The sequence below is a fragment of the Homo sapiens genome, chromosome 4, assembly GCF_000001405.40.
Source record: "Homo sapiens chromosome 4, GRCh38.p14 Primary Assembly".
Lineage (NCBI taxonomy): Eukaryota > Metazoa > Chordata > Mammalia > Primates > Hominidae > Homo > Homo sapiens.
In genome coordinates, this window is record NC_000004.12 from 36,382,019 (window position 1) to 36,398,550 (window position 16,532).

The 16,532-nt window shown below is 36.6% G+C and overlaps 2 annotated features.

Annotated features, from left to right (window-relative positions):
- Window positions 4,047–4,246: an enhancer, noted in NCBI's record as "active region_21410". NCBI's record gives its function as "activates an Ori minimal core promoter by ATAC-STARR-seq in GM12878 lymphoblastoid cells {active_cell/tissue: GM12878}" and the evidence as "EXISTENCE:reporter gene assay evidence [ECO:0000049][PMID:35858748]".
- Window positions 12,129–13,328: an enhancer, noted in NCBI's record as "P300/CBP strongly-dependent group 1 enhancer chr4:36395769-36396968 (GRCh37/hg19 assembly coordinates)". NCBI's record gives its function as "activates an origin of replication core promoter dependent on BRD2, BRD4, P300/CBP, MED14 and CDK7 cofactors, with strong dependence on P300/CBP, by STARR-seq in HCT116 cells {active_cell/tissue: HCT116}" and the evidence as "EXISTENCE:reporter gene assay evidence [ECO:0000049][PMID:35650434]".

Below are 16,532 nucleotides of genomic sequence, written 5' to 3' on the forward strand. Positions count from 1 at the left end.
TGTTGGTGGGACTGTAAACTAGTTCAACCATTGTGGAAGTCAGTGTGGCGATTCCTCAAGGATCTAGAACTAGAAATACCATTTGACCCAGCAATGCCATTACTGGGTATATACCCAAAGGATTATAAATCATGCTGCTATAAAGGCACATGCACATGTAAGTTCATTGCATCACTATTCACAATAGCAAAGACTTGGAACCCGCCCAAATGTCCATCAGTGATAGACTGGATTAAAAAAATGTGGCACATATACACCATGGAATACTATGCAGCCATAAAAAGGATGAATTCATGTCCTTTGTAGGGACATGCATGAAGCTGGAAACCATCATTCTCAGCAAACTATCGCAAGAACAAAAAATCAAACACCGCATGTTCTCACTCATAGGTGGGAATTGAACAATGAGAATACTTGGACACAGGAAGGGGAACATCACACACCGTGGCCTGTTGTGGGGTGGGGGAAGGGGGGAGGGAAAGCATTAGGAGATATACCTAATGTAAATGACAAGTTAATGGGTGCAGCACACCAACATGGCACACGTATACCTATGTAGCAAACCTGCACATTGTGCACATGTACCCTAGAACTTAAAGTATAAAAAAAAAAAAAATCAGGGAAAGAAAGAGAAGGGAGATTCTTTTATTTACCTCATGGGGGAGGAGTCACAGTTAATCTTTGCCTTGGAAATAAAGTTTGTGAAATAAACAGTTTAATCTAATATATATTTGCCATATCAGTGTATTGTGCTGAAACATGGATTAGGGTCAATGTAAAATAAATTTTGGGAAGTATGATTATAGATATAAAACTGATGAAAAGACTTAGAGAAACAGTAATAATTATTCTTCCTTGATTTTATTTACTATTCTTTTTATCAGTATATGGTTTTCAGGATACTTTGATTTTCACATGGAAATGACACGAAACAGAACAAGAGCCTGTGAGAGAATAGGAGAGTGTCATGGCTGTGGTTTTTGATATGCAGCCTTCTCTCCATCAGGCTATCTTGTCCTCTGACATTTGACATCCCTAAAAATCTGACCATGTGGTTAGCATTCAGGTTTCTTTGATCTTACACCTGCTAGGAGAGTCTAGAGATCTTTAAAAAATAAACATATGAATAGCTTTAAGTAGAGGCCATGCCAAAAAAGATGCATGAGAAAAATGAAGAAAAAAAATTACACAGAACTGAGGCTGCTTTTACAGCTTTTCCAGTTTGTTTTTCATAAGAAAAGCTAGAAAGTTTGGTGTGACATGGCTGAAATAAAAATTCATTATTTGGGATATGAAGGAGAAAATTCTAAATAAGTGGAGAGGTCAGTGCAATCACTCTCCTCACTGTCCCACAGACATGTCACATACAGAACTGGTCTGTTGCACATGCTAATTATTTCTACCTGGAATATACTCTTCTCTTCAAGCCTGTAATCAATTGATGTGGTTCTCAAGTCTTCTCTTCTTCATGGCTTTTCCAACTCACAGTGATCTCTGAATTCATTGTACACCTCACCCCTATTACCCTTTCCTGTTTAGCCATATGCTTCTTGTGGTTTTTTTGTTTGTTTGTTTTGACTATTGATTTGTTATTACTTAGCTCTTGCAGGTACACATAATCTCATTTTTTCCTTACTTCAATCATAAAGTTTTTGAGATCAGGGATATTCCCCTCACATATTTCTATATTATTTAAATGAACTAGACAGAGAATCAATACCTGAAATACTTCATGACCTTAGATAACTCAGAAACTACTCTCTATGTTTGGAACAAGTGGCTGGAGCCATAAGCAAACCTGCAGATCACATCTGAACCTCACATATCTTTTGTCCACTTTTTTTCTTTTATGAATAATTTCTGAATCTTCACAATAAATATGTAACTATTAAATACATGAACAAGTAAATTGTGTCCCATCTGGCAGTCTTGTTGTGGCTCCAAAGTTATAGAATATTTTAGATACTCGAGATGAGAAAAATCGTGGAAGAACATTTATTTGGTCAGAAGTCTTAAGAGGGATGTAAGGTGACATCTCCAACCCTGTGTATCAAATATATGAGATGCTGTAACCCAGACTTCACTCAATATAACGTCTTGTCAGTCTCCCCACCTCCTTCAAGCCCCTCGCTCCTGGTTCATTCACATCTTTACCGAAAGGAGTACATTCACAACAATGCTTCCCCCCCCCCTCCGACTATGCTGCAAGGACATTTTACTCCAGCCTTACTCCTACCTAGCTTAGGGTGTTTTGTTCTTAAGCCTTAATATTACAGTTATTTGAAAATTTTAATAACAGCAACTAAGAATTTGGCTAGTTCAAAATTGAAGTAACACTAATACTGCCAAATTTACTGTGTCTTTCTTTGAAGTTTCAGAAGGCCCTTGAGCCTCTCGATCCATTTTAGAATAATCATTATGAACATACATTACACGTGCCTTAGGAAGAAAAGAAGTGCTCTGAGCTTTCTAATTATGTAGTCACTGTATACATTGGTATTTAATATTTTCGCTTACTGGGATAAGAAACATTTGGACTCCTACTATCAAACATAAAATGTTTGAAAAGATGATGGAAACATAAAAGTAATTCTTAATGTATATTGAATACTCACATTTTCTAATTACATGTATTATCTCTGTTGTCAATTCTCATTAAAAACCTAGTGAATTTGTACTATTTTTATCACCATTAAGCAGATAAGGATTGAGATATAGGAAAGAAGCAACTTCGTCAAAGTCACATTGCAAGTCAAAATTCAAACTCAGACTTTTTAATTCTGAAACTTATACTCTGAATTATGGTAGCAGGAGTGATTTCATCTGGCTCACAGAACTGATGAATTATCAGGGATTTTGTGAGCCAGTTGATGTTACATTGGATGTTACATTGTGAGCCAACTGATGTTACATTGGTTGCTTGAAATTGTCCATGGTGGGTGTGGTAGCCAGAATGATGGTCCCCATGAACAAAGTTATGCATGTTTGAATCCCTGGAACTTGTGAAGACATTACTTTGCACGGCGGAAGGAACTTTGTAGATGTGACTAAGGTTAAGGACCTTAAGATGGGAAACCTGGATTACCCAGGTAGACTCAATATAATCACATGAATCCTTGGAAGTAAAGATCCTGTCCCACCTGTGGTCAGAGAAAACAATGTGAAAACAGAAGTAGGGTCAGAGAGATGCAGCATGAGAAGGAAATTGTTATGGCAGCAATAGAAAAGTAAGGAGTTTAGTGGGAGTATTTACTCCAAAGAGATCAGCAAACGTTATATATATTTTTTTTCCTGGAGAGACAGTTGGTAAACACTTACCAGTACATCACTGTTCTTAACCATTATATTACGCCGTATCCTATTAAATAGATGAGAAAGTGCAAGCATGAAAAGGTTAATAACTTCTCCAAAGGACAAAATAGGGATTCAATTGTCTTTATAAAAGTACTTGTTGTAATTAATATATAAACATGTTTTTAATCTTTGCAATAACAAGGAAGTTTAATCAATCTAGATATTTGGTTATCTGTAGATGCAGGCAGAAAGCAACAACAAAACCCCAAAACTACCATTCTCTCATAGAGCTTAAGTTCTAATGAAGCAAAACACAAAATTACCCCTAGGCACAGAGTGTTAATTTGGGGATGGAGGTGGACACTTTCATATAAATACATGTCATTTTGGAAAAGTTCTTAGCCAAATAAGAGAGTTTGAGGTCCCTTTTTTTAGCCTCCTGGCCTTTCATTGCTCTTCTTTCTTCACATGCTACCTCTCCCCTTCTTCCATTTCTTCCCTTTTATGTACCCTTTTATGTACCCTTTTATGTAAACTGAGTCTCATCTAGAAAGGTATTGTTAAAGTTTCTGGCAAATAAGTAGAAGGTTCAAATAGAGTCTCTATTGAAGTCACTACTTTTAAAGAGTCATAGGCAGAGCTACAAAACAAACACAGGATATAGAGGGGCGGTGAGGCACTTAGAAATCGACAATATTAAGTTCCTGTACTCTGAAGGAAGGGCCATATACAGGAACTACGTTCATGGAGAGTCACAGCTCTTGCAAGAGACACAGCACCAAAGCAATGAGGAAGTGAGGAAAAAAACACCACAACACAGGATCTCACTCCTTCTGCCTTTTGATCTCCTGCTAGTGCTTTTCACTAGCCATCTCAACTAGAAGCCAGCCAAGAAGGGAACCTGGGCGGTTCAGTCTGCTGTGGTCAACACCTGGGGCATAGAGAAGGTCAGAGGAAGGATCTGGATAGGAGGCAAATACAGTGGAGAGTTGTCAGCACAAAAATAGATTAAGCTGCAAATGGACACACTGCATTATTTGCATGTTAATAAAGGGATGTACCTGTTTGTGGTTTAAATATATAACCTTCTAATAGTGAAATTTAAGGTAATGTTAAAAAGTATTTTTGGATGCTGAAGACTTCCACCTGACCCTCAGACCACTACCAGTGTGTGACAAGTTACCAACCCTACCACACGCTTCCTGTGTTACTAGAACATGCTGCTGCTTTCAGTCATTCACAAACTTCTAAGCCAGTTCCATTTGCTGATTTATCAAGTTAATGTATTTCAGGGGGAAAACTCTAGAGTTTAAGGAAATAATCAGATATAGATGAGGAAGCCCAGATATTGCAACTAGATTATCTTTTATTCTCTAATTTATTCATGTTTATTTGTGTAAAATGAAATCCCATGGGTTACAGAATGGATCTATGGAACCCTTTGGGGGAAAGGAAGTCTTTCAGCCCTGTGGACATTGTCCTTCCATGGGGAGCCTTGGGGAGGTTATCCACTGATATATTTGGAGCAAAGAAAAATGAGCTTTTGTATCATGTACACACTTAACCAGTAGATGTCATGCAAAGTCCTATGCATGTGTTTCTCTGCTTATTGTTCTCAGTGGAAGAACAGTGTATGAAATTCAGGGAAAAAATTCTCACAGGATTCTAACACCAAGAACTATCTCCTTTGTCTTTGAGAAGCAGCAAGTTTAGTAAAAATCATTTTATATTTTCATACAATTAGGAAAAGACAAGCCAAGTAATCAGATATTGCCAGGTTAGTATTTTAATCTTAAACATAAAATCCTATAATTATTCTTCATTGGATTCTTGCACTGTACTGTTTAATAATAGTGCTGTTTTAAAATGTATGGAGGACAGGATACATTTTACAGTGCCTTCCACTGACATTGATTTTGTTCCTTTGATAAATGATCTGGATTTAAAAAAAAAACTAAATTATAAAGATTTATGATTCAGTGCCCTAGACTGAGGAAATGCTGTTATTCACCACCAAATCTGCTTATTAAAGACAAAAAGAGTTGTTTCTCCACTTACACAAAAAGGATAGCTATACTCTAGTCTAACACTGCTCATACCTTACTAGAATAGTTTTTCATTTCACGCTACATTGATATGAGAATTTTGTCATATGAATTCCCACTTTGTTCTTTCTGTATAAACAAAAATCCCTGCAGATCTACTAACTCCGTTTTCATCTTTATTGTCAGCTATATCGTTTACACTCTTATCCACCATCCCATACGTTTTACTGATTTGCTATTATATTTCTTTTCTAAGTGTCTAACAATTTGTTAGACATCACTGGGCTAAGTGCTGTGTTTTATGGTACCCTATTGGCGATCTCCTAACTATTTAGAAAAAATACATTATTATAATCTAATATATGGGATTCTCTTTTAATTCAAGCTAATGCAAAACACACCATTTACACCCAGTGGATGAATAAACCAATTATGCAAAAACAAATCAACCAAGCTAAGCAGGCAGTGGTTGTTAATGGCAAATGCTTAGGATGTTCAGTGCTAATTTTTTCCTTACATGTAGCCAGAACCTCAGAGTTACAGACCGTAAGACACTTCACTGCCCTTTGTTCAGTTTCCTCACCACAAAAACGAGAGGTTTGTTTTAGGTCAGGAGTTTTCAAATGAAGATGAACTTCAAAATCCACTGGACACCTTAAAAACACAGATTTTCAGTGCTCACTTGAGACTTATGGGACCATATTTTCTCCCTATGAGTAGAGCCAGAGATCGCGTGATTCTGATGCTGTTTTCGGCTTGCTGGTGGTTGGGACTCTGCAAATTGTTTCTCCGTTGTCAGATGATTTCGTAAGTTTTTCCGATAGAATTCACTAGAGGAAGACTGGAGTGCAGAAGGAAGAAAGGATTTCTTCCTTCCTATTCTGTTTCTGACAGCATCACTCTAGAAATGATCCTTCCGCCCTGGAAGAAATAGATGATCCTAGTTTTCAGGCACTTTCTGAACCAGTCACATTCTGACTCCTTGGAGTCCCTGACTCAGAATCCTCACTCCCCATTCGATCCCCTGAGCATCAGTACACACAGGTAGTGGGTCTGTATCAGTCTGCTCTGGCTGCCATAATAAAATACTACAGGCTGGGTCTGTGGTATTTTTTTCTCACAGTTCTTGAGGCAGAAATTCCAAGATCAAAGTTTCTCCGGAGGACTCTCTATTTGGCTTGCAGACAGCTGCCTTCTGGCTGTGTGTCTTTACAGGGCTTTCCTCTGTGTGCACGCATCCCTGGTGCCTCTTCCTCTTCTTATAAGGACATCAGCCATATTGCATTAGGGCCCCCAACTCTTATAATCATATTTAGCCTTAACTGCCTCTTTAAAGATCCTACCTCCACACACAGTCACATTGAGGATTAAGGCTGCAATATATAGATTTGGGGTGGGAGGAGAGACACCATTCAGTTTTTTTTCCTCTGAGGTATGAGTCCAAATCTCACGGAACTCCTCCTTTGATTTCCCAAGCTCCCAATGCCAGATGGCCAGCCCACTATCAGATATCTGAGTCACAACTCCGTGGACACTCCTCTGAGTGACAAGGCTCTGATAACCTAAAACCGTCCCCTTTGTTTGTCTCAGTTGGAGCAGTGGTAGCTGCTGCCTGCATTTACTATGTCATGTTAGCCTTAATGTTGCCGTCGGCTGTTCCTGTCCTTCAGTACCTGCTTAACCAATTCCACTTCCAATCTTCTCCACTGAAATACCTAATATAGTTTCTGTGTCCTGGCTGATAGCCTGTTGGGCATTAGTGAACTAGCCTTGTGAATGTCTAGATGAAGAATTGTCCAGGAAATGGGAAGAACGAGTACAGAGCACTATTTGAGAAACAGCTAGGGGGGCAATGTGGTTGATGCAAAGTGAATGAGAAGCAAGTATTTGAAAATAATGTCAAAAAGGTAGCAGGGCCCGATAAATTACAGAGAAAGATTTGTCTTTCATTTCAACTGCAAAGAGAAGTCATTAAACAGTTTCAAGAGAAATGTGATAAGTTTTCTCACAGTTCTGGAGTCTGGAAGAGATGATAGGTTTATTTTTTTTAAGTAGCACTAGTGGCTGCTATATGTAGAATACATTTAGGGAAATAAAAGTTAAAATGAAGATACCAATTAGGAGCCAATTGCCCTCATCCAAGCCAGATATGATAGTTTTCTGAGGTATTAGCAGTGCAAATAATATTAAGTAGTTCTATCATATCTTGATGTTGGAATCAACCAGGCTTGCCAATAAATTGGATCTAGGATGAAAGAAGAGGAAATGAGTCAAAATGACCTCAAGGTTTTGTTGTATAATTGGACTAATGAAGCTGCTGCTAAAAGAGTGAGGCTGTTTCTTTGGCGGGGCAAGGTGGTGAGAAATGAACACCAGGAGCTATGTTTTCAACATAGTAACCGCAGATAGCTCTTAGACATCTGTGGTGTCACCAGATAGCTGTATATGTGGATCTGAAATTTAGTGTAGATGTACAAGATGAAGATATACATTTGAGAGACTTTTTAATATAGATGGTATTTAAAGCCACAAGACTAGAGAAAATCATCTAGGAAGTATAGGTAGAATAGAGATGAAGCCCAGTATATGCCAACCAGCAGCGATTGAGATGAAGAGCCATGGAGGGACTGAGAATCATCCAGAAAAACAGGAGCCACACTAGGAGAATGTAGCATCCTGGAAGCCAATGAGGAAAGTATTTCCAGGGGGTATTATAATAAGCAGTAACAATTTCTAATGGCTCAATATACACAAACTTTGTTTCATGCTCAAAATTATTTAAAATGTTGTATAAAATTACCTTCAGTCTATGTGTAAATATATATATATATACATATAAAGATATATAGATGACTATATAAAACATAAATGAATTTTTATGTTCGGACTTGGGTTTCATTTCCAAGATCTCTCATTATGTATATATAAATATTTTAAAATCCCAAAAAATCAAAACTCAAAAACACTTGTGGTCCCAAGCATTTCAGATAAGGGATACTCAAGCTGTACTTTTAATGTACACGCTCCAATAATCTAAGCCCCCGTACTGGATAATTGCTGGAAGTCTAGTTCTCTTCCCAAGGATTTCTGTGATCCCTCCTGGCAAGTCCTAGAAATCCATCCTGTTTTCCACATTACCTGTTTTCTGCCCTTACAGGTTATCTCCAGCCGTCTCATGACCACATCTTATTCCTGAGCATCCCAAAGCATGGCCATAAGTTCCTAAACACAGCTATTGCAATGTTCTCGAGATTAAGATTTTACTTACCTTTGGGGACAATAATATGGTTGGTAAAATAACAATCACCTATTCAGTACTTGCTATGAACTCCACACTGCTTTAACAATATCATTTCTACTATGTATACTTATGTATTCTTTTAATTATCCTACCAATCCTAGGATATAGGTATTATTTTTCTCCATTTTACAGGAGAAAACATCATTTTATAGATAAGACTCTAAAGCACTGAGAGGGCATATAAATTTCCCAAGGACATAGTTCTAATATGCGATTAACTCAGGATTTAAGCCCACACAGTCTGGCTGTATAGTGTATTCTCTCAAAGGGAAGGGAATTACAATGTAAAAATGAAAACGTTAAAACTGGCTATCTCATAACTTTCTCTATTTTGGGATATTCTCTTTGATTCAAGTTCTCTGGACATTGGACATGTCTTCTAAGCTGCTGGCTTATTTCCATATTATTAAAAATAACTATATTCCAATAGTATAATAAAAATTATATACATATTACTGGAATATAATCAAATTCTCTTTTTGGGGACAAATTCATCCTTTCTCAGCTTTTTATTCACTCTGCCTACCTGACTCAGCCAGAGGAAACTTATATATCCTAACAACATAATTATATCTGCAAAGACTAAGTCAACGCAAAGTAAATACAGCCTTTTACATGATTAAATGATTAAACAGAATTCTCAAAAGCTTGGTCTGAAGCACATTCATTTTCATTTCTACACTGCCTTATATCCGCATGGCTAATAGGGTCACCCAAACATCCCCAGTAGGTACAAAGGGAGAATGTTGGCATTTACCCTGAAGTTTAGAAATGGCTGTAGCCTTTAAAATGGCACATTTTGGTCCCCACTTTATATGCAGGACACTGCAAAGATTACATGAAACAACAATGGCATTTGCTACTCCTAGGAGCTGAGAAGAAAAAAAGAGAGACAGCATGACATATGACTTCAAATGTTAGAAAGTAGTTCTGGGAAATAACAGCATTTTGTTCACCAAAAATACCCTACAGTGCCTGAGGCCAGAAGTAAAAATCAAAAGGGATCACCACCAGCCTTTAAAAAAGCATTCATGTGAAGAATTTTATGTGGAAAAATGCTGCTGAGCAATGGTGATGTTAGAAAAGACTGATTATCATGGCTACACTCAGAATGTACAGACTCATGGTATACTGGAAACGCAACGGCAAATCTTTCTTCTTTAAACATTTTGAAAGCAGCACATGCTTATGTGGTGTTGAGATAGACAAACAAACCAATCATGATATATCTCCTTATTAATACTGTATACTTCAGTATATGACACCAACAAATGCAAGAATAGCAATACAAACAGCTGCTATTAGTTACTCAATTAATTAATTTATCTGAGAGGCTGGTAAGCAGTGCCAGGAGCTGATGATCTAGTGATAGCAAAATAGATAAAATCTCTGCCTTCCTGGAACTATTTATGGAGTACTTACGTGTTTCAGGCATTATGTACAGCTGAGTTTTCATAGGCAGTTATTACTGTTATTCTTCATGACAAAATTTTGAAGCAGATTCTCTTCTGGCAAGGATTATACAAGCATAGAATGAGAAGAGTGAGGCTTAGAGGGAGTGAATCACTGATCAGGGTCCAGTGACTAGTAAGTGAGGGAGCTGAGCCTCAGACCCAGGCTTGTCTGACATCTGACTCAGAAGTTTAATGGCCTAATGCTTGCTTTTAAATACTATTTGTGCTATCTCCTATTGCACACCTTTTGTTCTGTGAATTCTTTGACCCTCTCCCACTAACCCCAGGCTACCAGTTTGGCTTTGTCTTCCCATCTCTTGCAGCAGAATTTCATTCCATAATAGATTTGGTCTCTAGGTATAATATATTTGATGGCTGCATCCAGACATAGATGTAATCACAGCTGTACCACTAGTATCTCTTATTTTCTTTCTTACATTTCTCAAGAAAGCATTTACCAGCAGCATCACTGTGAAACCCCAACTTATGGGATCCTCACTAAAATGTCATTATCTAAGTCCATTAAGTTGTCTAATAAAGGGTATACCCTGGTAATCAAATGGTCAAAGCAGTGTTCTAACAAAGTCCTGCATGTGTGTAGACTAAAATATTTCAAGCACACACACATTTCATAGCTTTATCTGATTTTTAGAAGGACAGAGTAAACATATGACACCCACTGTGGTTAAATTGATTATACTAAGAGCTACATTTCCCTGTATGGTTTCAAATTAGAGTTGGCAAAAAGTACTTCTGTGAAATTTGAAGGCAGAAATAAGGCAGTGGCCATGATTCTCCAAAGGTCTTTTCCCAACTCTATGCAGTGACAGACGTTCACAGAGATGCCTCTTCTGTGTTCAGTCATTCTTCCTACTGCTGGTCCTACTGACCAATTGAGGCAGTAGCTACTCAGAAGCAATAGCTTTTCATAGGTTTCTCCACAAACTCCCCTTCATATCTCTAGCTGGAAGGACACGGCTTCTCTAATTGACTGCTTGGTGACTCAATCTCTGATTCAATCCCTCATCTGGAACTGTGTTTCCTACAGTTGTGTAAGGTCTACTTTCTATAATAATCACTGATTTGAAGACTCTCAGACTGACAGTTCTCCACCAGATAAAACTGTGTTGATTCCCGAAGAAATGATAAATGCTAATCATTAGTCAAATAGAAAGCAAGACATTCATTAATTATTCCGAGATACAGAATTCTCAGTAATAACATTCTAATGTCTTCTTAAGAAGTGTTATTCTATTGGGAAAGTTAATATACCATACATGAGTTGGTATCCTAGTGCCTCAGATGTTTTTGTAAGTGGTCTATCTTGTCTTGTGTTGATGTTAAGAAGCAGTGGCCTGAAATTGACAAGGCGAAGAACGACAGAACAATTCTGTACAAATCCCCAGACACATTTGATTTTGCACATAATACAGAAGATAAAATCTACCGATAAATATTTCAGTCTGTTCCTTTACTTCCCTTTAAGTCATTATTGTAGAACCAAAAATTATTGTTTCACTAAAAATAAATGAACCACAGGTTGTTTATGTAACTGTCTAAGGATAATATGTCAAAAAGTATTATGATTCCTGGCAACCTAATAGGGGAAAATAATTTATTAATTATACTTTTAAAAGGTTAAAAAAGTGTTGTAGATCATGTTTGAAATTTATATTCTGCCTCACTGAACTACATTATTTATATAAATAACTTATGATCACACTATTTTTTATTTAATGTATACATTAACTTTTATGAGCACATGGGGGTTACTGCAAACTGCATTTTATGTTAAATATGTCTGTATTTCACAGTTGTTTGTCTTATGTACTCTAAATACATCACAAAGCATACAGCTGATCAAATTTTCATTTATTTTTTAAATTAGCTTTTCATTTTAGAACTAAGTTTTAGATTTACATAAAAAGGTACTAGATAGTACAGAGAATTTCCATATATTCCATACCCATTTTCCCTATTATTAGTAACTTATGTTAATATTATACATCTGTTTTGATTAACTTACCAATATTGACACATTATTATTAACTCAAGCTCAGAATGTTTTTTAGATTTTCTTCCTTTTAAGCCAATGTTCTATTCCTTAATCCCTTTCAAAATTCCACATTCTATTTAGTCATCGTGTCTCCTTTGCTCCTCTTGGCTGTGACAGTTCCTTAGACTTTCCTTGATTTAGATGACCTTGACAGTTTGGGGGAGCACTGGTCAGCATTTTGTAGAATGTTGCTTAGTTGGGATTTGCCTGATACTTTCTCTCATGACCAGACTGGGGCTAGGGGTTTTGCAAGGAAGCCCACAGAGGTAAAGTGCCTTTGTCATCACATCATGCCAAAGTTTCCTATCATTATGACTCATCGCTGTTGATGTTACCTTGATCATCCGGCTGAGATCATTGTAAATTTTCTCTACTTTAAAGTTATTCTTTTTCTCTCTCTCTTTCCATTCTGCACTCTTTGTAACCAAGTCACGGTATTAGCTTGCTAGGGCTGACATAACAAAGTACTCCAAGCTGAGTGGCTTAAACAACAATGTATTGTCTCATAGTTCTGGAGGCTAGAAGTCCAAGATCAAGCATTGGCAGGGTTGGTTCCTTCTGAGGTCAGTGAGGAGAATCTGTTTCATGTCTTCCTCTTAGCTTCCGGTAGTTTGCTGGCAACCTTTGAAGTTCTTGTGTTTGTAGATGTGTCATCTCGATTTCTATCTTCAGGCTCACATGGTGTTCTTACTGTGTTTGTGTCTGTGTTCAAATTTCCCTTTTTTTATAGATGCCAGTCATACCTGGCACCTACCATCTGTCATCTATTTACTCAATTCCACTACACATTGAGAGCAGTTTTCATTCACTTTTAATATACAGAATTATTAAAGTATAAATATGTATAAACCAATCATAAATATTTAAATATGCAAAAATTCCAGAATAATAGTTTACATTTCCCAAGAATAGCTGTAAACTAAATTGAAGTATAATTTCTTCTTTGGATCATTGTTAATGAGGACAGTGTCATGAGTGAAGTGCAATTGACTTTCTGTTTAATATAATATGTTAAGATATGCATTAGACCAATTAGAATAAATGATACAACCATCAGCTTCATGATTTCCTCAGAGTAGCAAATTATAAAGTTTAGATACTTTTTTGCTCTTTTTCCCTCTCTTTCTCTGTGCATGTATATATCTGTATATATCTATAACTTATGTATGTAAATAACACATATATGCATTACATAGTATATGTCTATAATTTATGTATATAGATAACATACATAAACATAACATACACATGCATATACATCTGCATATATATGTTATCTATATACGTAAATTATAGATATGTACATATATACTCTACATACAGTTATAAATACACAATAAAAACTTCATTATTAACATTTAAAAAATCGTGAAGTAATCATTGAGTTACAATTATATCAAATAGATATAAAAATAAAGCTGAAAGATATTTTCAATATACTAAATGTCTTTGATCATGAGAGGGAAAAGAAGCCCCTGATACCAGATTTGTATTGGTAAGATTCCAACTATCTCAAACATGTCAAAATGTAAAATTTTCTCTATCATATGTGACATTGAATCTTGCCTTCCCTTTATATATTTTATATAGTGCAGTATGATCAATAGCACCTTTTCTTTTTGGTTATACATTTGGTTAACATTGCAGAGTCTTGTTTGCTTCAAGACAAAAAAATTTGAATAAGTTTTGGAAATATCCAAAAGAAATGGAGTTAATACACAAAATGCATGTATAGACTCTCTGCACTGGTCAGTGGTTGTATCCAAATTTGGAACTAAATTTTCTGTCAATCCCTGTGTATTAGACACCTCTTATGCACCATGCCAGAGCCTCTCAGCCTCACCTGTCTCTTATCCCAGCTGCCACTGTGATGACCAGCTCAGCATGGGCTTGAACTGACTTTACACAAGTGTCACACAGCAGTCTCAGGTCCTGAGCTAAAGCCACATGCTCTCACCTCTGATCCTGTAACTTCCTCTCTTGATATTGCTTTGGGTCCTGAAGTCTGCAATCTGATCACTGTCAATCAATAACAGGAACATGACAATTTATTGCCTTTGAAAATGTAATTCCTAAGGTCATTTTTTTCTTCTACTGCTCTTTTCTTCGCAAGCCCTTATGTATCTCTATGTTTACTGTGTTACGGGGAAAGTATTGAACATCAATTGGCAGTCTCCCATGAGTGAGCCTCTGAATATATCAGGGAGAAAATAGAGTAAGTCATTATAGCACTAATAGAGTTAGTAATAGCATTTTTATCTGTTCAGGCTGCTATAATAAAATAGACTAGATATCTTATAAACAGCAGAAATTTATTTCTCACAGTTCTGGAGCCTGGAAAGTCCAAGATCTAGGTGCCAGCAGATTCAGTGTCTAGAGAGGGCACACTTTCTGGTTCCTAGATGGTCATTTTCTCACTGTAACCTCACATGTTGGAAGGGGCAAAGGACCTCTCAAGGCCCTTTTGTATAAAGGCAATAATCTCATTCATGTGGACTCCACCCTCATGACTTAATCACCTCCCAAAGGCTCTACCTCCTATTACCATCATCTTAGGGATTAGGAGTTCAACATATGCATTTTGAGGGGAGACAAACATTCAGACCATATAGTTTGTCTTAAGAGTTGAACATGAAGCCGTGACAGGCTACATGTATATCTGGAGAAAAGGCAGGTTACTCTTGGTTGGTCAAGGAACAAGGGACTTAATTTTTAGTTTAGGCTCACTGATATCTCTGAAAGCAAAAAAATTGCAGATTGTGTTGAAATGCAAACCCAAGATCATTGTTAGCTGGGCAGGTAGATCTGGAGGGAACTGCCTTTCCAAGGCATTCACTTCTAATCCTAGGTCACATGTAGCCCATTCACTTGGTCTCATTTGTAACTAACTCCTTTTAAAATAAAGCTTGTGTCCTGGTAGTTCTTCTGACAACATCCTAAGACATCAGGGTATAGGAGGATTCTTAATACAAACTGGAGAAGAAAATAAGGAAAAAAGAGAGTAAAATTAAGACTTCCTCCCAAACCATCCAAAATGAAATTTAGACTGTGAAACAAAGCTGCTTCCCTTCCAGTGGGGGACTTTATAACATTTTATTCATGGGAAATGCAATTAAAATGTCTGTCTCTCCTGTTTCCTGAAAAATTTAATTTGCATCTTAAGTTGTTACTGCTGTGCCCAAGATTTTCAAATCAAATATTAAAAATGAACTTGTCAACTCCAGCAGCTTTATGCTTGGAGCTAAACACTTCAAAAATTCTGTTTCATTTTGTAGCCTGTTAAGATATATTTATAACTGCATGTGTAGCGTCCTACATTGTTAGTAGGTAAATTTTATAATGAGTTTTAAATTAGACTCTTTCTCTGCACTCACTCACTAATCCACCTCATTTCCTACATGTATTTTTATCTGCATGAGAAATTCATGACCTCAGAATCCGACATAAGCCATGTGTTTTTTGTGTAATCCCAGAAGTCTCGTAATCTAATATCTCATAAACTTGCTTTGCTTTTTTATATTTTTGAACTATTTTAGATTTGCTTAATGAACAATGCAAAATATCAGGATTCGATGGCCTATTAATGCAGAAATTACGACTTTATTATCTTTAAAAACATTTTCAAGTTTGAAATTCAAGATTTTTTTAAATGCATGTAACAAGAATAGATTGTAATATATTCTGTATAAGTAAGAATTATTTTCACTTGGAAGTAGGGTAAGAATACTTCACACTAAATTTCTTGCAAGTTACGGAGTATGGCAGATTTCAGTCATGGCTAGATCCCGGAGCTCCTTCACATCCTGTCCCTCTCATCATCAAGCCCTATACTCATATCTTTCGAACTTAAAACCTCTGTGGAAAAATAGTCTTTAAGATAGCAATTGAAGAAAAGTTCACAAAAAAGCAAATTAGTGCGGCTTGGATAACATGATCATCATTGAACTAATTACTGTCACAAGACCTCTTAAAAGCCCTGTTTGTCTCGTCTTTGGCTCCATAGAACCACATGAAATTGTTTCGCCCCAGAAAATATTAGCTTGGTCACCAGAGAAAGAAAGGAAAAGAAATGCTAAACAGACAAAAGTAACAGTAGTGTATCTCTTCATTTCAGTCTCTCCTTACAGCTACCTTATATTATACTTTCCTGGATTATAGAATTCATCATGTTGCATCACAATTATTTTTATGTTTCTTGCCCTTCTGATATCTGGAATATTCTGGAGACAAGAAGACAATATTATTACTTTTAAAAATTGTTGTAATTATTTTCTTTTCATGTTTTAATCCAGTATTTGGCACTTACTAGCTCTTCGATAGATGGTTAATAATTCTACTAGTTAATTATATGTACAACTGTTGTATTCTCCTTATCTCTGTTT